At 46.4% G+C, this 26,104-nt stretch overlaps 1 long non-coding RNA gene across 1 annotated transcript; it reads left to right on the forward strand.

The window, feature by feature from the left end:
• Positions 1 to 11,022: 11,022 nt before the first annotated feature.
• Positions 11,023 to 23,719, forward strand: LOC124901791 (uncharacterized). Its single transcript, XR_007060617.1, has 4 exons — positions 11,023 to 11,104; positions 21,483 to 21,587; positions 23,368 to 23,446; positions 23,562 to 23,719. It is a non-coding gene; the product is annotated as an uncharacterized LOC124901791 (long non-coding RNA).
• The last annotated feature ends 2,385 nt before the right edge of the window (positions 23,720 to 26,104 follow it).

Genomic DNA, 26,104 nt, shown 5'->3' on the forward strand with positions numbered 1-26,104 from the left:
TCCGAGCCCAGCCCTCAGTTTGCAAGTGACGGACAAAGGATGTGATCCCAGGAAGTTTGCTTCTGAACCTGCTCTCTTCTTTTTATGAACCTGCTCTCCTAACAGCTAGAATGTGGTCTCTGATCCCCAATTAGCAGTGGCTGTAACTGATGGTTGAGAGAGAAAATTCACACACAAATGGTATGCAGATTTTCATGGAGGTAGGGCAGGGGCCCATTATAAAGAAAAGATGCCACACTGGAGACAGAATTTTTAGCAAGTATTAACATGAGACAGCACAGGTGAGACAACTGAGTTACAAGCCTCCATCAGAAGTGATCAATCAGCGTACACGCTGAAAATGCTTAAACGACACCTGCAAAGCCTGAGCATATTGCAAAGCCTGCAGTGACTCTTTTAGACTGCAGTAACCTAATTCATGATGCTTACTCCCATCTTCAAAAACTCTTCTCTAGCTCCTGACTTTCTACAGCAAGAAGTCTCCCCAGTCAGACTTCAGGGCCTCTCCACAGCCAGGTCACCTGATTTTCCAACTTGATTTCTTTTTCCACAAGTGCTTTGGCAAATCTGTCTGCTAGACACTTTCAATCTCCGTCGCAACATTCACGCTGCTCTCTCCCGTTCATTCTGCCAGTCTGCATTCTGTTTTTCTATCAATGCCTGCCTTAAGAATTAATGAAATGTGCAAAACCTGATGGTACATTTACAACCCCTTATGGGGTGGATTCTGTTGTTATCTGCCAGAGGAGAATCTGCCAAAACCATGAGAAAAGACCTAGGATTCGAACCCTGGTTGACACAGGCCCAGAGCCAGTGTTTATCTACTGCCACACAAGTCCCAGAGCCCACGTCTCCCATGAGGGGTTCTGAGACCTCCTGGATTTGGTTTGCTTCTTTCTCTAAACTCATAGCCTTGAGGAAAAGCCAAATTGTGCATCTCTCTTCTCAGTGTTTCTATGTCTCTGGGTTAGGAGCTCCATGACAGGAATTGTCAGATGTACCCCACAGAGCTCCTGGGAGACACCTGCTGACTCAGAAGGTAGGCACAATGCATATGAGGTCTTGCCCAAGCACAGACTTCAGTTTACAAACTCACTCCTCCTTCCTTCCTTCTTTTTTTTTTTTTTTTTTTTTTTGATGGAGTCTCACTCTGTCGACAAGGCTGGAGTGCAGTGGTGATCTCGGCTCATCACAACCTCTGCCTCCCAGGCTTAAGTGATTCTCCTGCCTCAGCCTCCCGAGTAACTGGGATTACAGGCAAGCACTACCATGCCTGGCTAATTTTTGTATTTTTAGTAGAGATGGGTTTCTCCAGGTCGGCCAGGCTGACCTTGAACTCCTGACCTCAAATGATCCACCTACCTCGGCCTCCCAAAGTGCTGGGATTACAGGTGTGAGCCACCTCGCCGGGCCACAAGTTAACTTTTTCATAGTGAAAAAATAATTTGCAACTTCCGAAGATTTACTCTGAAGGCAAGTATCGCAATTTCCAGTTTTCTGCCTAACACACCGAGGCTGGGCTGCCTCTGAAGCCCAGCTTTGTGGGGTCGAGGCCTTGGATAACAGGCAGAACTCGTGAGGGACTGGCCCGAGGCCCAACTGCAATGATGCTGGGACTGACGTGCATTTCTGTGGGTGAGAGGGTAGGTCCTTGGCCTGGGTTGGAGGGATGTACCCCCCTTCTCCCTGCTGCAGGGCTTGGATTGTGCCGCAGGGCCGGAAGTTGAGTCTACAAGGAATCGGTAGAGACCTTGATCGAGGACCTCGTTCCAGCTGCTGGGTGCCACTCGTGGGCCTGCAGGAGGGGTCTGAAATGGCCTGTGAAATCTAGATGCATGATCTGCAGCTTAGATCACCAGCACAGACACTCTCCTCCTTGCAGAGCAACCAGAAAGTATTCTGTCTGGGAAGTAAAAGAGGTTTTCTGAGTAAAATTCAAGTGAAACTACTGTTAAGAATGACTTATTTAGCCCTGTTGGGAGCTGGGGGTAGGGGGAGGCAGAATTAGGAAAAGGATCAGGAAATAGAAAACCTGAAATCTGTGCCTAATTGGAACTAATGTGTTGTGTGATCTTAGACAAGTCATTTAATCTTTCTGTCTCATGTCCTTATCTGCAAATGATTATAATAATCACTCTGTCCCTTTCATAGAGATGTGAGGATGTCCAATGATCTAATAGCTGTGTAAGTGCCTTAAAAAATAAAGATCTGTGGAAACGTGTGGTGGGATTGGCATGGTCCTTGCCATCGCTGGTGTTTGTTCACCCATTTCCTTCATGAGCATGTCTTCAGTATTGACCAGAGGTCCAGAATTTGGAGTCTTTGCTGACACAAATTCAGCCAGCATATTCATTTTAGATACTGTGTATGGGAAGGATATGCATGCTACTTCAGATACTATGTATGCTTCAGGGATGGCTCCCCTGTTTGGGCAATGCCTCCTTAAACTTGAGATTTAACTATGGCTCACACCTGCAATCCCAGCACTTTGTGAGGCCGAGGTATCGGGGGATCTCTTGAGGCCAGGAGTTCGAGACCAGCCTGGCCAACATGGTGAAACCGTGCCTCTACTAAAAATACAAAAATTAGCTGGGTGTGGTAGCACACGCCTGTAATCCCAACTACTTGGGATCTGGGGCAGGAGAATCACTTGAATTCAGGAGGCGGAGGTTGCAGTGAGCCAAGATCGTGCCACTGCACTCCAGCTTGGGTGACAGAGCAAGACTCTGCCTCAAAACCAACAAACAAAAAACCTTAAGATTTAGAGAGTTCCCAGTGGTGTGTGAGGCTGACTGGAGAGAGCTGAGCGTGAAATGTGCAAGAATTTGGCCAGCCAGTTTAAGTGACACGGGTCCTAGCAGGAATATTTACAGTGTGGAAACCAGTAAACGCTGCAGATGAAGGCCCCACCCTCCTGCCCTCAGCCACCCCAGCCCCTGGAGCTCTGTGAGAAATACGGCCCCTGGCATGTTTCTAAGGGCAGAGGAGGAACGCCTAGTGACCGACCACCTGGGACCAGAAACATGCTTCCTGGATGGATGGTCCTCATTTCCCAGTTCCTTTTCTTGGAATTGCTAGGACAGTTGGGGCCTGAAGTCCAGGAAGGCCCTTCCGAGAGGTGAGACATCAGGGTCTGACACACAGCCCCTGTAGATCTTTCATCTCTCTCTCTCTTTTTAAAATGTGGAATTCTTGTTGATGTGTAACCTTGTATTTCAGTTCTCTCCTATTTTGTTTTATTCCTAGGGGCATGGAGTCACCAGTTTCTAGGCCCAGTTAGAAAGCCCCCTGTGTTAAAATCCCCCCTTGGCTTTTCTCTCCCAACTCAGTGGATCATTCATTCCAGAAATGTTTGTTGATAACTCGCGATGTAACTCAGCATTGTATGCGAAGCCCCACAGAAGTGTCAGAGATGAAGAAACATTTTCATCGTACAGGAGCTCAGGACTCCTTGAATAGCTGAAGCAAACACACGAAGCGCTTTCCCCAAGGTGCAGTTGTGCTAGTGGATTTTCTCTGTGGCTTTCCAGGGTTCCCCTGAGTGCCCACTGCAGTGACAGTTACGGACCCACCTTAGTCAATACGACCCCAAGAGCTGGGTGTGGCAGAGAACGCGCCGGAGTCAGAGACAGAAGACCTGGGTTGGAACACAAGTTCCACCACGAGCTGCATAAATAGGAACAGACCACAGGATCCTCTAACCTCGAGGTCCTCAAATGCAACATGCAGTCCAGTTCACAGCCTCGAACCCCGAAGCCCAACCTCGACACCCTAAGCACTGAACATTCTCACTCATTCGGTGAATCCTCTTCTGAACTGACACGGAACTATTTTTAGTCTTTATTTATTCCACTTAATGTGAATATTCAGGTTTCTTTGCAGAAGAATTCATGTGCTTGATTCGGGGGCACTCCAGATTCTCTGGGTTTGTTGCATAATCCTCACTGTGTGCACTTTATCACCTTTCTAAAATCACAGCCACTCTGAATTCTGAAACACTTCTGGTCCCAAGGGTTTCAAATGTAGAAGGAAGAGTGAACCCCACTGGAGGTAGCTTTTGTCTTCCATCAACAGAACAGGTTTCCTTCACCCGAGGCCCTGTCTGTCTCTGAGTCTCCAATGCCTGCCCCGCCTGCAGGTGAAATAAATGGTCCTGATTCCCCCATGTTCAGCATCTGAGCTCCTTCCATCGTGAGGCTACAGACAGAACAAGGAAACATCGAAGGATTAAAACATTCACTAATGAACTTAACGCTTAAAATATGTAGCCTCCATTCTTCTATCCATGAGGTCAAATTCTCCCCTGGCCAGTGAGTCAGTGATGGTCTGAGGTTGCAAACACCCAAGAACACAGGGCAAAGGCAACAGGAGTCAGTTCCAAGGAGACGCTGAGAGCGTGACACAACATGTCAGATTCCAAGTCAGTGAAAGGGACGTAGAACTCTCCACGTTCTAAGCAAATGGACACAGCTCACAAATGAAGATATGGCAGAGTTTGACTTATGAACAACAGGAGAGAAGACATTTAAAAGATAGTTATAAAATATGCACTCAGAAGAGATTGATTTAAGAAGTTTTAGAGAACCTCTTGGTAAAATTGATGCTACTCTTGATTTTCTTGTTGTATGTTAAAAAAAAGATTCTCTTTAGATGATGTCAGGAAATTCAAATGTGAAGTATGGGATACTATATAATGCTACCTTACAACTTTATCCAGAAGATTATGACATGGCTAGTCAACACTTCGTTCATTTATTACTTTAAAAATTAGCACATAATTACAATGATAGCATGTTTTGTTGACTAGAAGAAAGGAATATATTTTCATATTTTTAGCTTCCTATTTTTCCTAGACAAATTTCCAATCGACTCTTTTTTTTTACTATTTACTAAAACATACTGGCTTATGTTTTAACCGAATTCTTTCTGAGCGACCTTTTCCCTGTGCTGAGTGATCTTGGATGATAAAGACCTTCTGTCTATGTTCTAGAACCTCTTTGTTTTTCTGAGCAGCTGTCTGCTCCTGTAGCTTCTTCTACCCAACCCGGCTGCCACCCATTGGGCCTGGAAGCTGGGGAGCAAGCACATCAGCATCAGTCACCCTGGCCATTTGCTGTGGTCAAGGGGATGGAGGGTCTAGACACTAGTTGACACGGCACAGGGACTAGGGAAGGCTAAACCTGAAAAATACTCCCACGCCTCCTGGAGAGGGACCCAAGGCCTCCGGGCTCCTGCTGTCCCACCCTCCCTGGTGATCCCTGCTGAGGAAGCCAGCATCATGCTCAGCAAGCTCCGCCTCCACACAAATTTTCACCCTTAGTTCTGGAGACTTCCCGCTGGAGCCAGACAGGAGAAGCCTGGTGACAGCCCTTCTAGCCCTCGAAGACACCTTTCCCATCCTCTCTGTATCTTCTTTTCCGGGGCATCTTTCAACTATCTCCATGGCACAGGTCCCAGGACCCCTACCTGGCTTCTCCACCTCCTCAGGCTCCTTATCGACCCTTCTCCTACAACTCTATCGCCAGAAATGATGTGATTCTTGAGATATGTTATGAACTGCCTCGGTCATCAAAAATGAAGAGTAAATAATAGGCTTTAAGAAATATTCCTGGGGAACTTATGTCTCATTGACAACTCCTATCGAGGTCAGTGAAAACAAAATCTCTCACAAAATGATATTTTAAAGTATTTTTCTCTTATTTTTTTTTAACAGAGTTAACTTTTTGGACCCAACTACAAAAGACTGTATGAACTCATATTCCATTTCTTCTTGTCACAGTTTAGTCATTTTTATAGACTTCTGAGTTATTTTAATAGTCTTCCTTTATTTCTAATAGGAATTTTAGAAAGAGAGAAAAGTATAACCAAGGAAATAAAAATGATCCAAACTCTTATTGTTGGATATTTAGGTTGTTTCTAATCTTTGCATAGTATTAATCAATCTGCAATGAACACTCTCATAAATCATTTTGTGCACTTCTGATTATTTTCTTACTGTAAATGGCTTTAAGTGAAATTCATGCATAAAGACCTGGCAATCTTTAAAGCTCTTGCAATCTTGTTGAAACTGGATTAAATATGCAACATGTTAATTGTGTACATTTACATATTTGATAAATATCCTCCAAATTTTAGCTAAGTGTTCAAAGGCACAGTCTTGGGGCAAAGTAGTTTCTGCTTTTGTAATTTTATCTGAACCTTTTTTCCTCTGTTATCCTAAAATGTGGGTACCTGTACACTGAGCAAGCGTTGTGTATTAGACTATGCCTAACGTTCACCTGCTTCATCTGGCTGAGTCCTTGCAGCAGCTCTGAGTGGCAGCGTCATTCTTCCTGTTTTTTAGAGGAAAAGCTGAATCTGGTAGACTTTGCTCAAGGTCACATAACTGGAGATCAACAGAAGCAGCCTCCAAACTGAGGTTGGTCACACTCTGAAGGCTTAATTCTTACATGCCCTCATGAAGACATCTGCCTACGTGTCTGAGAGGTGAGCTCTCTTTCTGACGAGTTGCTGGGTTTATTTCAGGTTCCTTTGGGTGCCACTTTCATTGCCACATGCGTCAGCAGATGGACAGCTGTCAAGGGGGGTGCACATTTGCTGATGCGTCCCGGCTGAGGCCCCACAGAAGGAGCACCGCCCCACTGTCCCCTCAGTCTGCAGAGAGCACAGAGCAGGAGGAGGTCCTCAGTCTGCAGGGAGCACGGAGCAGGAGGAGGTCCTCAGTCTGCAGGGAGTGCGGAGCAGGAGGGGGTCCCAGTCTGCAGGGAGCACAGAGCAGGAGGAGGTCTCAGTCTGCAGGGAGCACGGAGCAGGAGGAGGTCCAAGTCTGCAGGGAGCACGGAGCAGGAGGAGGTCCTCAGTCTGCAGGGAGCATGGAGCAGGAGGTCCTCAGTCTGCAGGGAGCACGGAGCAGGAGAAGGTCCTCGGCAGCAGGAGGTATTGAGGCTGCATCCTCTGAGCCTGTGATTCTCCCTACCCCACAGTGACGCATGGGCCCTGCTGCTTCCTCCCCAGCATCCCCGCCTTGTCCCATGGGCCCAGGACTTCCGACTCTCCTGCTTCTCCTTGGTCTCCTTTGTTCAGACATTCAATCCAACGCGGACTTTGACGTCCCCCCCATCCCTTAAGGTCCTTTTATTTTGGTCTTCACTATTTATTCCATTCTGTGCGCCCTTTGCAATGGGTCCCAGGGGATCCCGAAGGCTTTCACCTTTCCTTTAAGCACCAGGCTGACTTACACTGGTGAGTCCGGCTCGGATGACAGCAGCACCTGCTTCGCGAGCCTCAGATGGCCCACTCCTTCTCAGAGAAGCTGGGCTGGAGGTGCTGTTGTTGTTGAACAATTTCCTCATAAACTGTGACCGATGTGGTAGACAGTTTGATTTTCCCACACCTGCCCCTCTGGGCCTCTGAGGATGCTTTCTGTAACCTGCACGGCCTCTGCCTGCCCGCTCCTTGCCAGGGTGCAGTCGGGCTGAGCCACAGAAGCAGACACTGCTCCTGACCCAGTGCTCCAGCAGAGGCCACAGAAAACCCAGGGAAAAGAGGGGAGTTGCCTTCACATGTGCCTAGGATTTCTTCCTGCTCTTTTTTGTTTAGTAAGACTGAGGATTAAGAGACACACAGGAGAGGGAATTCAGGAAAATCCAAGGAGAAAAGGGTGCTAATAGAGTTACCCTGCAGGCTGTGTGCTGTCTCCAGAGCATGTGAACGTGGTGAGCCGCAGGCTGTGTGCTGTCTCCAGAGCGTGTGAACGCGGTGAGCCGCAGGCTGTGTGTGTCTCCAGAGTGTGTGAACATGGTGAGCCGCAGGCTGTGTGCTGTCTCCAGAGCATGTGAATGCGGTGAGCCGCAGGCTGTGTGCTGTGTGTGTCTCCAGAGCGTGTGAACACAGTGAGCAGGCATTCGGGGTGAGCGCTCTGGGGTGTTGTGAAGCCAGTCCTGCACCAGGAGGATTGGGGACTCCATGACAACTTGATTTTTCCAAGAAAGGCACGACATGCAAAATGCATCTCCAAAGAGCAAGAAGGTGGCTCCGGAATGTCCTACTGCCCTCTGGTTTGGGTGAATACTTGGCACATCTATTCCGTCCCCAGCTCTCATCTTCTTACTTGAGCACTCCCTTCCCCGCCTCCTCTTATCTCCCTGCTCTTCTCACAGAGACCCTCTTCCCTGCTCCTCTCAAACACCCAAATGCCAAGAGGATGTTGGGGTGCAGGGCTCACGGTAACAAGGCAGAGGCATCAGGCTTTTCTCCACCCTGTACCGCAGGCCCCAGCTGCTCCAGCTCCAGCATGAGCTTCATGGACGTTACCACGACAGTAACAATATTAGGATCAGTGACGCTTCCCTGGGAGCCACACGTTAACATTTTCATATACTGGGGCTATTAGCTGCAAAGAATGGGACAGAATTGAGACACATTCATTTCTGTGATGCCTTCCATTAATCACTCTTAACAGCCAAAGACTGTCAAAACAGACAGGTGATATGCACTGTGAGAACCCACTCGTCAGCTCAGAGCTTTGACATTTTAATCTCCGTCATCTCAACTGCTGGAGAAACGAGGCCGAGATAACCTGGAATTCATAGACACACATGCACACACAGCATAGATGACACCACACACACTGTGTGTGTAATGATGCGTGTGCACAGATGGCTGTGTGGTATGTGCATAGAACAAATACACAGCACACACAACATATACGCACCCATGGTATACAAAGCAACCATGCTTATAAAACAATTCTGAAGGTTAGAATGGGGAGAAGACACTGCTAGGAAGAATAGGGTTGGGGCCACGGCCACACTGACCACTTCTACTCCCCGGGGACTGGCCTGTGGCCTGCGAAAATACATGCCTTTTTTTGTACATTTCAGAGCCATGTAATCTCTCACAGCTCTTAGCTGTTAGCACACACATGCTTTTAAAATGAGAGACTTTTAGGGCTCAGAGAAGAATAAGATGCAAGGGAGTTCCAGCACAGGCAGAAGGCAGCTGAGTTCATGGAAGCAAGGATTTGACTCGTAGGGTTCTTATCAACTGGGTCTCTGCACTGGACACAAATCCCATGGTTTAGGCATCCTCTAAACAACTTTGAAATGCGGGGCCCTCCCTGCTGAGATCGTCCTGCTAAAGGAAACACCTGGATTGATCATGTTCCCCTCTTTAATGTTGGTATTGACTTTGGCCTAAAAATGACAGGTTTCAAGACTGTCATTAGTCTAAATTACAAACAGATTATATGTTGATATAATAAATGTTTTACCTTTAATTTTTGTTTTAGTATCTTCTTATAAATGGGTATCAAACTATGCTGAACCTATTTATTAAGGCTTTCCTCTGAAAGATGATTTGGTTGCAAAAGAAAACCTTTCTTTATCAGAGGCTGCAGTAAGGTTCCTGTTCTGCTGGAGTGGGCTTCGGGCTCTGGACGGGGCAGCCGCTTGTGCACACTGTGTACAGCCCACCATGCTGCCTCTGCTCCTGTTATCTGTTGCTCCACAAACATTACTTCTTTTTCCCTGCCTGTAAAAACCTCCTCATCTTAAAAAAAGCCTGGCATTTTGGCACAATTTTATCCCACCCTATCCCCGGATTCATATGCTGGAGTCCTGAATCCCAGTACCACAGAATGTGACTGTACCTGGAGATGAGGACGTTAAAAAGGTTATTAAGGTGAAATGAGCTCATTAGGGTGGCCTCAATCCAATATGACTGGTGTCCTTCTAAGAAGAGGAGATGAGAACAGAGACACATTAGAGAGGACACCAGGAGAAGACGGCCATCTGCCGGCCCAGGAGAGCGGCCTCAGGAGAAACCAACCCTGCTGACACCCTGATCTGGGACTTTTGGCCTCCAGGATGGTGAGAGAAGGAATTTCAGTTGTCCAAGTCCTGCAATCTGCAGGACTTGATTGCGGCAGTCCTGGCAGGCTTGTGCACCTGGCTGGGGACACTGGCCCTGTGCTAGTTCCAGAGAAGAGCCTGCCCCAGGCATAATAATGAATAGCACCTTCCCATTACATAGGATTTCCTCCATTTCTAAAATCTGCTTGAGGGCAGAGACTTCTTTTCTCTGGCCACAAAGCTTCATGCCTTGCACATAACTAGTGCTCAAGACACTCTGGGTGACTGGGGATAACTAGACTCAGATCTCACTTCCATTTGAAGACCAGCTTCCCCTCCCCTTCCCCTGGACCCACACCATGGGTGCTGCCTAGAAGCTACCTGGCAGCCCCTATGATCAGGCCTCATCCTGAATTGCAGTAGGCCAAGCTGTGATTAGTGAACATGGAGGAAAAGCACAACGGGTTTTTGCAGAAGCTGCTCTGTGCACGGCTTTCCTCTGCTTGTAGAAAGGGTCAAATGCTCAGGACCTGGGGGGCTTGAGGCAAGAGGAAAGGCAGATTCCTTTCCAGCTTCCAACGTAGTGGATGGTGCTGAGGCCAAATCATTCACTCCTCCTACGAGAAGGCAACAATGACCAAGCGAACCCACAGGACACAGGCTGTGCAGGAAGCACGAGAGGCCCAATGGTGCGGACAGGTTTAACTGCAGGGAAGGGCATTTCAGTTTATTGTAGTAACATGACTCCTGTAAGGCGGAATTAAGATTCTGAGCAAAAACTCAGCAGAAGCTGCATGAAAAATGTCATCACAACTTAAGTCTGCAAATCAGCAACTCCGCTGATCAACCACAAAGTAATAAGGAGTAACAGCCTAGGAAGTTATGTTATTGAACCAGTGGGCAAACGTCTATCTGAGTGTAATGCGTTGATTTGTCACACTTGTGTGAAACCTTTACTGTTTCTTGACTTCCATGTACTAAAAGTCCCCATTTAGGACAATAGCTATGAGTAAAAAAATAGGCTGTTCTCCAGAAGAATCATATGCAGACACCTTTGCTTCTGATTCTTGGTGCATTTGTCTTTCATTGTAACAGTGATACATTCAATTGTGTCACAATTGCCCTTTAATTTGGAGCAACACCAACTGTAGCCAGCTACTCACAGGAGGGGCTGCACCACCCTGGGGCGTTTTCAGGAACATTGGCTCACCCTCTATCAGTGTCAGTGATAATGCTGGGATAAAACACCACAGGTTGGTAACAACCATCTTCTTTCGTATTCTCACTTGCTCTTCTCTTTTCTCTTCTTCTCCTCTCCTCCCCATCTCCTTCTCTGTCTCTGCATCTCTCTCTGTTTTTCTCTTTATCTCTGTCTCTGCGTCTTTGCCTTTTTCTCTCTCTGACTCTGTCTCTTTCTGTCTCTGCTCTCTCTGTCTCTATGCCTTTCTATGTCTGCCTCTTTCTGTCTTTGTCTCTGATTCTGTCTCTCCATCTCTATCTCTCTCTACCTCTTCCATCTCTCTCTATCTCTGAATCTCTCTCTCTCTCTCTCACTGTCTGATACACACACACGCACACACATACACAATTGTTTCCACTGGTTGAGAAGTAGGCTAAGCTTTTCACAGTTGAAGGCTCAATCCCAAAGTCTAAAGCGAAGCCATTATCAGTGAAAAGTTTGCTCAAGGATTTTCTGGTTTGTGGGGAACCAGGCAATTCCCTGGCAAGCCCCGCATTCTGGCCTCTGCTTGCTGGTGTGTACCGCGGCAACAATGCATCCCCCTCCCACTGGGCTGTTAGTGGAGCAGTGACAACGTCAGCCTGGAGCCCCAGAGGCCTCGCAGGCTTTCCCAGGGGAGACCAGCCCATGGAGCCACACAGTGGTGCTCAACCTGGGTGCAGCAGGGGTAAGATGCCAGGGGCTTCAGAAGCAGGAGGTTCCCAGCCTTTTGGAAGATTAGGACACAGACTCTCTAGCTGGCATGAACACTCAGGCAGCTCTCTAGCCAATGATTTCCACTGGCAAATGAGCAGGTTTCCATGGAAAGTCATTAATTATCTCCTATTTAATCATCCACTTTAAGAGTTTCTGTGGGTTGTGTAATTAAAGACACAGTACTTTATGGGGATTACTGGGGTACATAAAATCCCCAGCCCTGTGCCAAGGCTGTAGCGTTTGTCTCAAACACTGAGAATCTGTTCTGATGGTGACGAGGCATTCCTAGGCTTGCTTTGAGGCAGTGGGGCTGCTGGACTCACACTTCCTTAGCTTCTTGCTGCCTCCCAACCCACTCCCAGACTGAGGGAGGCAGGAAGGAAAAGCCCAGACTGTCTTTTGTCATGAAAGGGTTCCAAGGAATCGAGGAGCAGGCTGCCCTGCCTTGCCAGGACCAGATGAAAACTGCTAAAGAACAAGAAACTGGGGTGAAACGCAGGCAGACCTTGCTGTGGCAGGCATCTTTCCAAGATGGTCTTCAGTAACCCAAGCTCCCTTCTCTTCACTTCTCTGTGATATCCCCTTATTTTAAGTGTGATCTGCATCTAATGACTTGCCTTTAACAAGGAAAATAAGACAAAATTGATGAGATGTCACTTCTGTGATGAGGTGACAAAAGACTGTCACTTCCATCTCTGTGGCACTCTCTCTCTTGACTTCTTGTCCAGCATGCTTTCATGAAGCAAGCCGCCATGTTGGAGCAGCCCTCCTGGAAAAGAGCTGAGGATGGCCTCTGGCCAACAGCCAGTGAGAAACTGAATTCTGCCAACAGCCATGTGAGTGAGCTTGGATGCAGATCCTTCCCCAGTCAAGTCTCAGATGAGACCACAGCCCTGGATGACACCTTGTCTACAGACTTGTGAGACCCAGAAACAGAGGACCTGGTTGAGCCATGCCTGACTCCTGATCCATAAAAACTATGAGATAACAAATGTTGTTCTTTCAGGCCACTAAGTTTGTGGTAATTTGTTACGTAGTTATAGATTACTAATCCACTCCAACTAACTAAATAGAGGTTATGACTGTAATGAATCTTTATATTTTCAACACAATTATTTTTCAGAAGGAGAAATTACAGGCATAATAGTTATGTGTTCAGTAACTAATGTTGAGCTCCATTTTTAATAAGTTGGCAAAGGGGAGAATGGCCAAGTTGAAACCAAGGCATTTCTCTTTCCTTCATACTTTCAATAGGTTATGCAACCTTGTGCGGTAGCAAAATCCTATTGAATATTCAGTTTATGAGCCATTCATTTCTTGGAATCCTCCTGTTTTACCTGGTACTTGCAAATAGGTACTTCTTGTCCTATTTTACCATCAGAGTCAAAGAAAGGAGAAGCTCAGCTCAAACTTCCTGTATCTATATAGAAATTCTGATAGGCTTAGCTACTCATTTGTAATATTAGGAAAACATTGGTGAGACACATGGCAAAGGTAGCTGGTACATCCTTAGAAATTAGAAGATGTAGCCAGACCATAGAACAAGAGAAAAAGAGAGGAGGTGAAGGGTACCAAAGAAAATCAGACCACTTCATGAACTTACTGAGCACTGGTCCTGCCTGCAATCTTTGAGAAGTGACCCTTCCCTTTTTTTAACCCTGGAGTTTCACTGCCAGGGCTTGTGTGGCCCAGCTGAATGACAAGGTGCACCAGCTTGGAAGAGGAGGAAGAGAAGGTGGTAAGAGCCTGACACAGCCATTCATTTCCTCATCTACGTACCACAAAACTTCAGGCTCCATAGGAATATGTCTCAGAAGTCAGCTTAAAAATAATAATAACAAGCCTTCTGCATACTCATTTTCAAGGGCTCATACTGAAGCAACTCCAAGTGCCAGTCATCTCTACATAGTTGTCTAAACAGAGCCATCTTTCAAGGCTGACCAACAACAGAAATGTGTGCCACAGAATATAAATCATAGAAGGCAACTGTAAAACATGCACAATTTCACAATGTACCTGGCATTTTTTAGTATAGTGCCTTCTTTTCTTTTCTAGTTTTTTTGCTTTGTCTCTTTTTAAAACCATGACCAATGTTTTCTTTCTTCAACTACCCTTCAAAGCTCTGGAAAAGAACAGGCCACTGTGAGGTGAACATGGCACAGAATTCCAAGGGTATGACACATGTGATTGCTTTTTTGGTTTCTATCTGAAAGGATTGTCAGTGGAGGTTTGCTGTTTCTGTGAGTGTCATGGGATATTCTTCAGACACTCATTCTGTTTTCTGAGTATAAATTCCGTGAGTATATATAAGTCACCACAGAAGAAACTCCATTGGGCCCTTGTTGGAGCGCCATGTGAGATTACGAAGCACCACATTACAAACCCATTGTGATTAAGCAGCTTCTCTCAGCACAGGGCTCAGGTCATCGCCAGCCACTGAAAACCAAAGTTCAAGCTGTTCCATGCCACAACTCAGGATCTCCTTGTGAAGCGTGATGTTCTTCTTACAAATGGCAGTATAGAGGGGGACTGAATCAGAAGACAGAACTCACTTAAGAGACAGTACTACCGCAGAATTAGAAATAGAAGAGCAGACAGGGTTACAGGAGCCAGAGATGGTGCCAGGATCATGCCCAAAAAAGTGAGCAGCAGCCCTTAAAAAATTGCTCTACTGAGCCAGCAGAAGAATGAGGGTAGGAGTGTCCCAGGCAAGTGCCAGAGGGGTCAGGGATGGGGGCATCAGCTAGTGACCTCTTGGTTCATCAGGCCTAATAGAGAAGAAAGAATAAGACAGAAGCTAATTCCGGACTTGATAAACCAGGTGGACTTGACCTTTGGTTCCCATCGCCTCTCAGGATTGGAGGAAAGAGGACAGTGCTCAAGGCAGCCTGAGGTGTTTAGAGGAACTCTCTCCATGAACTTTCATTGCCCTTATTAAAGGACTTCAGATGAAGCATTTAGGAAAAATACCTCTCAGGAGACTTGGCATTTTCCATCTTGAGTAGAAGAGGTGAAAATATCTCTTGTGAGTTTTCAAAACTAAAAGCAGTCCCCATGCAAGTTTGTCTTTCAAATTTGTATTATCCAGTGGTCCATAAAATCTCAAGCCAACATTTTTGTTCTTGGTGAATTGGGCTTAGTAGTAACCCAGGCATTTGAAGAAGCAAATGAAAATCCTCTCCACAAGAACTTAACTTCAAACCAGGCCTCAGAAAATCCCCATAGATAAAATTCCAATAAATGTGAGCTCAGACTCAAAAACAAAAAGTGCACAAGAAAGCAAGACACCATGAAGAAAAGGCAGCAGAAATGATGCACATGCAATCAAATCTGCACAGACTTTAATCACAGAAATATCAGACCCATGTTTGCTTCATTTTGTATGAATGGGTTGGACCCAATTGTGGTGTTAGAAATGATTACAAGTGGTTAAGTTCTGGGTATACTTTGCAGGTAGAGTTGACAAGAATTGCAGACAGATTGGATGTGAGATATGAAAGACTGAAGTTGTGGATGAGTCTGAGTTTGGACCTGAATAGTTGAAGGAATAGATTTGCATTGTTCCAATAGCTGTGGTCCATCACTGCCACTTCCAGGACCCTTTGACCAATGGCAGTCCCAGGGCAACACCTTATTTTCCAGGAACAGCCCAGGAGTGGTCACTGTTTCAAGAACTGCATTCTTCCAGTGGTTTGGGTTCACTTTCCAAGTAGGAAAGACATCAAAAGGAGGAGGGCAGGGAAGGGATAGAGATCAGCCCTCTGATCTACCAAGTTTGCAATGTCCAAAAACAAACAAATGATGAGGTAAGGCATTCAGATAATGTAACTCTAGACTTCAGGGTAGACATATGGGCTCAACGTGTGATTCTGCATAATTTTTAGCATATAGTATTATAATATAGCTCCCAGGTCAAATGAAATCACTAAGAGAATGAAGGTACACAGAGAAGAGAAATGGACCAAAGGAAGCCCCAGGACAAGAAAATTTTAGGGGCCAAAAGATGAACCATCAAAGGAAATTGAGAAGGAAGAACCAGTGAAGTAGGTTGAGAACAAAGAGAGATGGATATCCTGGAGGCCACCTGGACGTGTCTTTTAAGAAGGAGGCTGTGAGCATCTTAGTGAAAGCCACTGATAAGTGGAGTCAGGTGAGAACTGAGAATCTACCCCCGGACTTGACAATTTCCAGACCTTTGGTGGCTTGAGGAGGAGAAATTTCCATGGAATGGTGGAAGGCTAAATGGCTGGTTGGAGTGAGCTAAAAAGAAAATGGGAGAAGAGGAAGGTCAGACAAGGATAGAAAAGCATTTTGTAGAGTTTTGCTATAAGTGAGGCGGGGGAAGGAAGTGGCACATGAAGTTAGTGGTTACGAACACAAAGTAAGACCCCCGTCAGAATGGATCAGGAGCTGGAGGCATTCCAGAAATGAGCAGAACACAAAATCACCACAGACCAGAAGTCATATCAGAAACAGCACAAAGGAGATGAGACACATCTGTGAACACAGTGACAGACATGGAGAAGTGAAAATGAAATAGAACTACTGCATAAAGAGAAAAAGACAGGGACAGAATGTTAGATTTGAAAGCTAGACAAAAGAAATCTCTTGACATACATACATTAACATCCCTGAGGAGAACTAAAATAACAGGGCATAAAAATATTTCAAGATATAATTCAAAAAAACTTTCCAGAAATAAAAACAAATCTATAAGCATAAAGAACACACCAAAGCAAAACACACAACAAAATAATATAACAGACTATGAAACAAAAGAACCAATAAATATCCAAAGCCTGACATATGTCTTGGGCTGCAGTAACAAAATACCTGAGACCGGGCAATTTATAAACAACATGACTTCATTGCTCACTGTTCTGGAGGCTGGGAGGTCCAAAATCAAGGTGCCAGAAGATTAGGTGTCTGGTGAGAGCCTATTCCTCATAGATGGCACCTTCTATGTGCCATCACGTGGCAGAAGCTCAAGAGGAATAAATAAGCTCGTTCTCTAAAAGGGCACTAATCCCATTCATAGGGCTCCACCCTCATGACCTCCTCACCTCCCAAGGCCCCACCTCTCAACAACACACTGGGGATTCAAATTCAACATATTATTATTTTGAGAGGCACACAAACATGAAGACCACAGCAACATCAAATATGGATCAATGTTACAACCAAACATCCATTAGTTAAGAAGTATACATGTAATAAACTCCCATATTTAAAGAAAAAGATCAGGTAGAGTATATCAATAGGATACCATGGCAGCCAACGTAATACACAAGAAGCACACCTCAACAGTGACTCATAAATTTTGAAAATAAAAGGATGCAAAAAAAAAAAAAAAAGTACCAGCCAGATTCAGGTCACAAAAAAAGAAAAGAAAGGAAAACCTGCAAAAATTATTATACTAGGACAACTTTGCAGAAGAGAAATGAATGGAAAGGAATCAAGGAATCAAGCTACAATTATCAAACTGCATTACACTGGAACGTGAATAGATAAATAGATCAGTGTAACAGAAGACAAAGTCCATTAATAGGACCAAATACATATAGAATTTCATGTAGAATAAAAGTGAAAATTCAAATCAGTAGAGTGAAAGATGAATGGTCTCATGAATAGTGTTGTAATAAGTGGGTTGGCATCGGAAAAAACAGTTATAGCACTGCTTACTTCTTCAACAAATGTAAATTTTAGAATGATACAATTTTACACATAAAACCCCAAATATAAGAATAGTCTAAGAAAATATGGGGTGGTTTCTTTAAATCTTAGAGTATGATACAAAAATCAGAAGTCATAAAAAATGATATAATATTTAAAATATAAAATATTATCTTTATAAGGAAAAGTGTGGGAAATATAGTCAAAAAACAATTCAAAGTAGGAAAATAGAAAATATTTGCAAGATATAACATAGAAAAGAGAATTTTTATCTATAAAGAGTTTTTCAAATAAACAACCAAAAAATACAATAGAAAAATTGGCAATTTTTTCCAAGCATGTACTTCATTGAAAAGGAAATCCAAATAACTCTTAGGTATATAAAAAGAAACTCTCACTCAGAATAAGAGAAGTATACATTAAAAATACAAGGAAATAATTTTTAGAAGTCTGTCAGTTGGACAAAGATTAAAGGACTTGACGACATATTACGTTGTTAAGAGCTGGGGAAGCGGGCTCTGCGGTACAGTGATGACATAAATAGGAGCAGCTTTGAGGGGAACAACCTGGTAAGAGCTATAAACACTGAAATCTCTCAAACAATTGACCCTGCAATTCCACTTCTAATGATTTGTCCTATACATGAGAATGGCATACATACAACGACACTCAATGTAGCACTGATTTTAATTGCAAAAGATTGAGAACAGCAGAGGGAACAGGTCAAAGAAGTCACGCTATAGCCACGCAATGAAATGTCATGCAGGTGTGAAGAACAGAGCCATTTTAGATGCTTTTATATGAAACAAAATTCTACTATAACTGTTGTTAATGCAGGACATACAGAGCATGCGACATAAGGGGGACGGGCATGCGCTGGTGTGCGTGCCCACCGTGTGCCCGCCGCGCACCCACGTATGTGTAACTCACCTCTGGAAGAGCCCAACAGCCACCTCCATGGAGGGTTCCAGATGGCAACACGACAGCAGTGGGAAGGAAAATCCTTTTTTGCTCTATATTTTTTATAATTTTTGAATTTCTTTTTACATGTGCATATGTGACTAAGAAAAGGCCCTCAAAATATAAACTATGGGTTTCTTTTTATATATACATAAAGAAATGGATCCTTTGGTATCTCTGGTAGAAGGAACTTTTGAATTCTGATTGGGCAGGGGACTCTGGGCTGATACAGTCTAATCAAACCATTGTCCCACGGTGGGGGTGGGGAGGGTAGAGAAAAGAAACCCAGGACTGTGTTATAGTAAAGTGTCCCATTGGCACCGCTATTCCACGGAATGGCAGGGGCTCGCGACCAATCAAGGTGATTTTAGCTGCTCTTACTCACTTCAGGAGAATAACAAACAACTCAGCTTCAGTTCTACCCCTTTCTGGCCTATATTTTCTATAAATTTAGGGCAGGTCTCTGAGTGATGGCCGTGCCTTGCACAGAATTTTCTCTGTGGTGGGACAGGCTATATTTTTTGTAGCATCTCCCTTTGCTCCTCCAATGTCTGCCTCTCAAACCAAATAAATTCCTTTTTTATTGAGAAAACTTTTGCTGCAACCTACCCTGTGGTCCCCGTTAGGGAGCTTTTCTCCATTTAATTTTCAGATGTCTGCCTCTTAAACCAAAGACATTTTCAGTGTTTTGGGAAGAACAGCCACTGTGGCTTACCTGGTTACCGTCCCTTAGGAAGACTGTTTTTAATCTTTTGCTTCTTAGTCTCAAACGAGGCAACAGATGAATTCGAAATTACACCAAAAATAAAACACTTATAGATGCTTTCTTGTTTGTTTTAAGGTAGCTGTGAAAACCACTAAAAACATGGGTAACTTTAAGCCTTCTTAATGGGACTTAAATGTTCATGGTGGGAAAGGATAAAACTAGAAATTACGGGCCGAGCGCGGTGGCTCACGCCTGTAATCCCAGCACTTTGGGAGGCCAAGGCGGGCGGATCATGGGGTCAGGAGATCGAGAACATCCTGGCTAACACAGTGAAACCCCATCTCTACTTGGAAATACAAAAAATTAGCTGGGTGTGGTGGCGGGCACCTGTAGTCCCAGCTACTTGGGAGGCTGAGGCAGGAGAATGGCGTGAACCCGGGAGGCAGAGCTTGCAGTGAGCTGAGATCGCGCCACTACACTCCAGCCTGGGCGACAGAGCGAGACTCCTCTGCTCAAAAAACAAACAAACAAACTAGAAATGACAATGGAATTCAATTATCCATGACATCATCATCTAGTGAACCCAGGGAACAGAGAAATGCCACAGGGGCAGGTGTTCAGGTGTGGCTTGGAGAGGCATGGCAGCTGGAAGCAGCTTGAGATTGGCATTTCCCTTTGGGCACAGTGTCAGGACACCCAGGTTCGGGGCCAAGCTCTGCCTCTCACTAACTGTGACTTGGGACAAGTTGCTCAGACCCATCTTTTCTTCTAGGTGTTTTGCCTTTATCTCTCCATTAAGCCAAGACACTAAAAAGCTGTCTCTTTTTTATCTCCCCTTGAAGAATTCTTTGGCCTGAAATCCCAGGGTCCTCTGTGGGTGCGGCCAGCCTGCACCCACCTGGCCGGCTGTAGAACGCTCATGAGGGCCTGGCTGCCGCCTGGCTGCACCCACCTTGTGTCCCCTTCTGAGCACTGAGATCCTCTTCAGTCACCTTTTCTTGACCTTGCAACTGGTGTGACTTTAGCTCAAAACAAAGATAAACTTTGGAAAATGTCACAACTCCTTTTTCATTTTCCCTCTTAGTACAATCAGAGCTGAACCTACAGCCCCGTCTTAAAAATCACGTTAGATCTGACAGCACTTGCTTGCTTCCCTGCTGGCTTCTGGTCCTGTTGCAATTCTGCACATTTGTTCTCCACCAGACACGCTTACATGTGTGTGCACACATATGCATTTCTTAATGTCCGTTTAGTTTTTTAATTCATCATTATATGTGCATTGTAATTGAATTGTGATAGGTCCTTTTTGGGAATATGTGGGGCTTAAATTACGTAAATCCATGAGGACACACTCCTGCCCCCAGTCCCATTCTCCAGTCAGATTCCATGTTGTAAAGGTGGAGTGGGGACCGTAGTGCCCAGTGTCCACATTAGAACCCTGCTGTTCCGTGACCCAGAACCAGGACAGGAGCCACCTGTGGTTCAGGTGAGGGCAAGAGTCCACGGAGCCCGGACAGGAGCGGCAGAGCAGGCCGCACCTCCCGGGCACCTTCCGGGGCTGAGCACCCGAATGCAAATGCGCACCCCCCTGTCTGTCGCGGGCGGCGGGCGGGGTCGGGGGGAGCAGATGCTGTCCTCTGACGAGGCGGCTGTTCTTGCTGAGTCTGAAGAATCCCTTCAAGAGCCAGTAATGAGAGGAGCTGAAGCTTGCGTTGATTACAGACTGTATCAGAATGTCAACGACAAGGGCAGCACGTGGGAAGCGGCGCATTCCACCCACAGAGCCCGCAGGGAGCACAGAAGTGGAGCAGGGGGGGCTCTCCCCGAGGTCCCGGCCTCCCTGGATGGATGTGCCCCACCGCTGGCAGGGGGTGCTTGGGCGGCTTAAACGGCACAGGACAGGTCTGCATGGAGGCCCGGGCCTCGTGATGCCATTCTGGGGAGGGGGAGGGGCAGCCCCAAGACCTTGCAGGCGGACTTGGCCTGGAAGGTAGAGCCACCACCAGGACCCGTGCAGGGCTGCGGGGAACGGGGAAAGAAAACAGGTGTCCTCCCTGGAGAGGCTGCTTATGTGATAAAGTCAGGTCCCCAGAGCTTGGAGGGCCCTGCGGGAGCGTGTTCTGGGAGGGAGTCAAAGAGAACAGAAGAGATGGTTGGACAGAGGTGGGGGTCACAACAGGTGGAACTTCCAATGAGGGCAGCCATGGGACATGGGATGCGGCTTCTCTGTCTCCCCTGTGGCGTCTGTCCACCGTGACAACCTCTAGGTGACTCTCAAATTCAGTAGACGGAGGAGAAGCCACACATGTTGCCACCAGTTCTGACTTGCTGCGTGGGATCTTTCTCCCTGCTCTAGGATGCAGAATGCTAATGCTAATCACATGCTGCTGCTGATACTGATACCAATAGCAACACTAATGCCAATAGTACCACCAACGCCAGTGCTAATGCTAGTACTAATGTAAGTAGTAATGCTGACGCTAAGAGTAACACTAATACCAATGCAAATGCTAATACTAACACCAGCAGTAATGCCAATAGTAACATGGATACTAATGCTAATGCTAATACTGATACCAGTAGTAATGCAAATGCTAGATGCTGATAGTAGTACTAATGCTGATACCAATAGTAACGCTAATGCTGGTAATATTATTAATGCTAGTGCTAATACTAATGTCAATGCTAATGCCGATACTAATGCTGATAGTAATACCAGATGTTAATGCTCATACTAGTAATAATGCTAACACTAATGATAATGCTAATAACAACACACACTAATGCTAATTCTAATACTATGATTATATAGGTAGTGATGCTAATGCTAATAGTAACACTAATGCTGGTGCTAATGCTAATACCGACAGTAATGCTAATAGTAACACTAGTAATAATGCTAATGCTAATATCACTAGTAATACTCATGCTAATAGGAACATTGATACTAATGCTAATACCAAGAGTAAAGTAATGCTAACGCTAGTAATAATCTTAATGCGAATGCCAATGGTAATGCTGATGCTAATACTAACAGTGCTAACGCTCATGGTACCACTAACACGAACGCCTGTGCTAACGCTCCCATGGCAGATGTGCTGGGCACTGTTTTGTGTGCTTTACAAGTACGAAACCCTTTAATCTCCATAACAACCCTATGGGGTTATCAGCCCCACTTTATAGTTGAGCAAAGTGGTAAGGCTGGGAGCACACACCCAATGAGTGGACTCCACATGTTACCCCCATCTTATTGGTTACAGACCCTGAATGGCATGGCTGCAGGAAATCAGACCCCAGTCCTAGGTGGGGAGGGGCCCTCACTGCTTTTACTGGACCTCTGCCCTGGAAATGCCCCCTGTCTCACGTGGTCACTGCAAGGAGAGCGAGCGGATCACACTTCTGCGTTTATTCAGCTGCAGTGTGGAAAGGGACCTACCAGGCTACATAGTGGACAGCATCCTAGCAGACTGCGCTTGTGCATTTATTCAGCCGCAATGCGGAAAGAGGCCTCCCAGGCTTTGTAGTGGACAGTGTCCTAGCCAAGGGCCCCTCTTGGGCCAGGTCTGCCTCTTTCTGCTCCCTCCTTTTCAGGATGTGGCTTTTCTACTTTGGGCCTCAGTGGTGAACAGGGTCCAAGCCTTTCCTAATCTCATAAAAACCAGTGGCTGCATGTTGTGAGGGGACAAGCCACCAAAAGCCCCTCCCAGAAAGCATTTGGGCTTCTGCCCTGGCCAGCCTGCTATCGGCCCAGTGAATAGAGACTCACGTGGCCAAGCCACCCAGATGCTTATTCTGAAGACCCAACCCCTAAAAGACCAGTGAGTCTGGGTATCTTTGTGCACATAGATTATTGTAGCAAGTTCATCATTCAAATGGCTTTTTTTTTTCATGGACCTTACTTTACTTGCACTGTTGTTCAACAACTTAATGCAGCAACAAACCAGACAAAGTGGTCATTTAGGGATGGAGTCTTTGCACGGACTTTGCTGAAAGTCCAGGCTGGTTCAGGTAGGATAACAGAGAACTGCAGCAGGGCAGTGAGGACAAGGGACCCTTCACTACCCTTTGAAATATTATCACCTTGACAACCACACATGTGAGACCAGCCCAGGGACCAACTGCCGCTTCCTCAAATGCATTCCCTACTTACCTGCTACTGAATGCACCTGACCCTGTAGCACTAGAGCATTCCTAAAACGAATGCTTCAGAGACCATGACAAAATGCACATTCCCTCTACAGGAGTGACATATGGAATGATTATCAACTTGGATGTTTGAGGATTGGCAGCATTAGCTCCACCACTGCAGAGTTCTGAAGGGTAGGACACAGGGCAAGAAAGTGCTGGCTGGGAGGAAGGAAGTGAAAGTGATGGAGAATATGGCAAACACCTTCAAGTCTATGGACCTATTCCTGATGGCTCTCCTGTTCCACAGGGAGCACTGTCATGCCTGATGCAGGGGGACCACGCTGGTTGGAGACGCTGAAATGGAAGGGGAGGGGGAAAAGAAGATCGTGCCCACGTCAAACCCTCCAGGTGAAAAAACAAAGCAAATCTGAAACGCATTTTGCTTTTGGAGTAACAAAAAAGTAAATGGAGATGGTGTTCCTATTTTTGTCTTTATTTTCTTTGACACAGGGTCTCGCTCTGTTGCCCAGGTCGGAGTGCCATGGTGTGATCCAGGTCACGGCAACCTCGACCTCCTGGACTCAATCAATCCTCCCGCCTCAGCCTCCTGGGTAGTTGTTCCTATTTTTGTAACAAATCCCAACCGTCCCCGCCTGCTGTTCAAGGAGGATAAAAGAGAGAGGAGAGATGAGCAGCTCCATGGGCTCTGCTGATTGAGGCGCAGAGGATCGGTGCTGAGAGTGGCATGGGTTGAATAAGGGCAGTGTCCTCACCACCAGTTTGCATGCACTCTTTGTGCTGGACACAGCATAAAGTCTCGTCAGTTTGGGCAACTGGAAATCCTTATTAAGGAAGTGAGTCCCAAGCATCCTCAGTCGTCCCTCTAAAAACAGGGACAGCCTGGAAGAGCCTGGAAGCTGACGAGGCTGCAGCGCAGCTCCCCTGAGCGTGCCCCGTGTGGGGCAGTTGTCTGCAGCGTTGACACCCGTCCCGTGCGGTGCACACTGCCCTGGAGCTGCCGGAGCCTCAGAGCCAGATTCTCGGCAGATGTTGGAGAGAGCAGGTGGCCTAGGGAGGCAGGCAATTTTAACATCATCTCTCCCAGGCCAAGAGCTTTTGTCAACGTCCCTGAGAGCAGCATAGACATCAACCTTGATTCCCGAAGGTCCTTAATTGTCCCCAGCACTCAGGATTTCATCACCTGGATGTTCAGGCTGAGCAAGAACAAAAAAGGCAAAGGCGGTCGGGGATGTGGACCATTTCACCAAGGTCGGCCTCCACTTCAGCCCCAATTTCCAAACCCATGTCGGGGGCGACTTAGTTAACACCAACAAGGGGACGTGGGGCTATACAGTGAGACTGTGGATTCTGATGTGCCAGGGTTGAGTGAACTCCCCAACACACACACACACACATGTCCATGCGTGCCAGGCTGCTGAAGAGGGGAGGTCTGCCCTCACCGGCTCAGCACCACTCCTGCCCGGGCACCAGGCTGCCAGGCCAGACCAAAGGAGGCATCACAGTCAGGGAGCTTGCAGGCATTTCTCACTAGAGCAGAAAGTGACAATCATCCTGAATCCTTCTATTGAAGATTTCAATAGAACTGATCAAGATCACCACCGCATCTGTGCAACGCAGAGGCCTTCAAGAGAGCACGTGGCACTCTCACTGTGTGGTGTGTGTGTGTGTGGGGGGGGTGTGTGCATGCATGGTGCTTCGGTGTGGTGCATGTGGTATGTGGGGTGTATGTGGGATATGTGGTGTTTGAGGTAGTGTGTGTGTGTTTCATGTACGGTGTGTGTGTGTTGTGTGTTTTTGTTTTGTGTGTGTTGTGTGTGGTGTGTTTTATGTGTTGAGGGCTATGCATTATGTGTGTTGTGTCTGCACGGTATGTGCCTGCATGCATGGTGTGTGTTGTGTGTGTGCATGATAAGTGCCTGGTGTGTGTGTGTGCATGGTCTGTATTGTGTGTGTAGTGTGTGTTGTATGTGCTGTGTGTGTGCCTGGTGTGTGTTGTGTGCCTGGTGTGTGTTTTGTGTGCATAGTGTGTGTTGTGTGCCTTGTGTGTGTGTGCATGGTCTGTGTGTGCACAGTGTGTGCACAGTGTGTGTACATGGTGTGTTGTGTGTTTGTGTGCACGGTCTGTGCTGTGTGCCTGGTGTAGGTTGTGTATGCTGTGTGTGTGTGCCGTGTGTGTGTGCATGGTCTGAGTTATGTGCCTGGTGTATATTGTGTGTACTGTGCGTGTGCCGTGTGTGTGTATGCATGGTCTGTGTTGCGTGCCTGGTGTGTGTTGTGTGCCTTGCGTGTGTGTGCTGTGTGTGTGCATGGTCTGAGTCATGTGCCTGGCGTGTGTTGTGTGCCGTGTGTGTGCATGAGCCATGTTGTGTGCATGAGGTGTGTTGTGTGTGTGCCCAGTGTGTTGTGTGCATGGTCTGTGTGAGGTGAGGTGCCGTGTGTGTGCGCTGTGTGAGCCAGGTGTGTGACAGGCACACCTGGTGAGGATGGGCAGGTGGTCGGCTTCCAGGTTGGGCCCTTGGAGCCCTTCCTGGAGGTCCGGGCAGGTGGAGCAGCCCCTGTGCAAGGAAAGCGGCAGGGCCTTACCCGGGAGCAGAAAGCCCTGGGCCATCTCTTCCCCTTCTTTGATTCTGCAGCAGCACAGTTTTTATGACCTGTGTTCCCTAAAAGTTTCTGCAGAAAAATATCACTGTTTCACTTTTCCTGAGGTAAAAGAGTTCATTTTAGGTAATAAATGCTGCCTCGCCTAATCCAAGGAAGCGATAGCGGCGATGATACAGACAAGGTACTATTTTTCTCAGTCATGATTTAGGTCACAGCTTCCTCAGATTG

Source organism: Homo sapiens, chromosome 7 (assembly GCF_000001405.40).
Source record: "Homo sapiens chromosome 7, GRCh38.p14 Primary Assembly".
Taxonomy (NCBI): domain Eukaryota; kingdom Metazoa; phylum Chordata; class Mammalia; order Primates; family Hominidae; genus Homo; species Homo sapiens.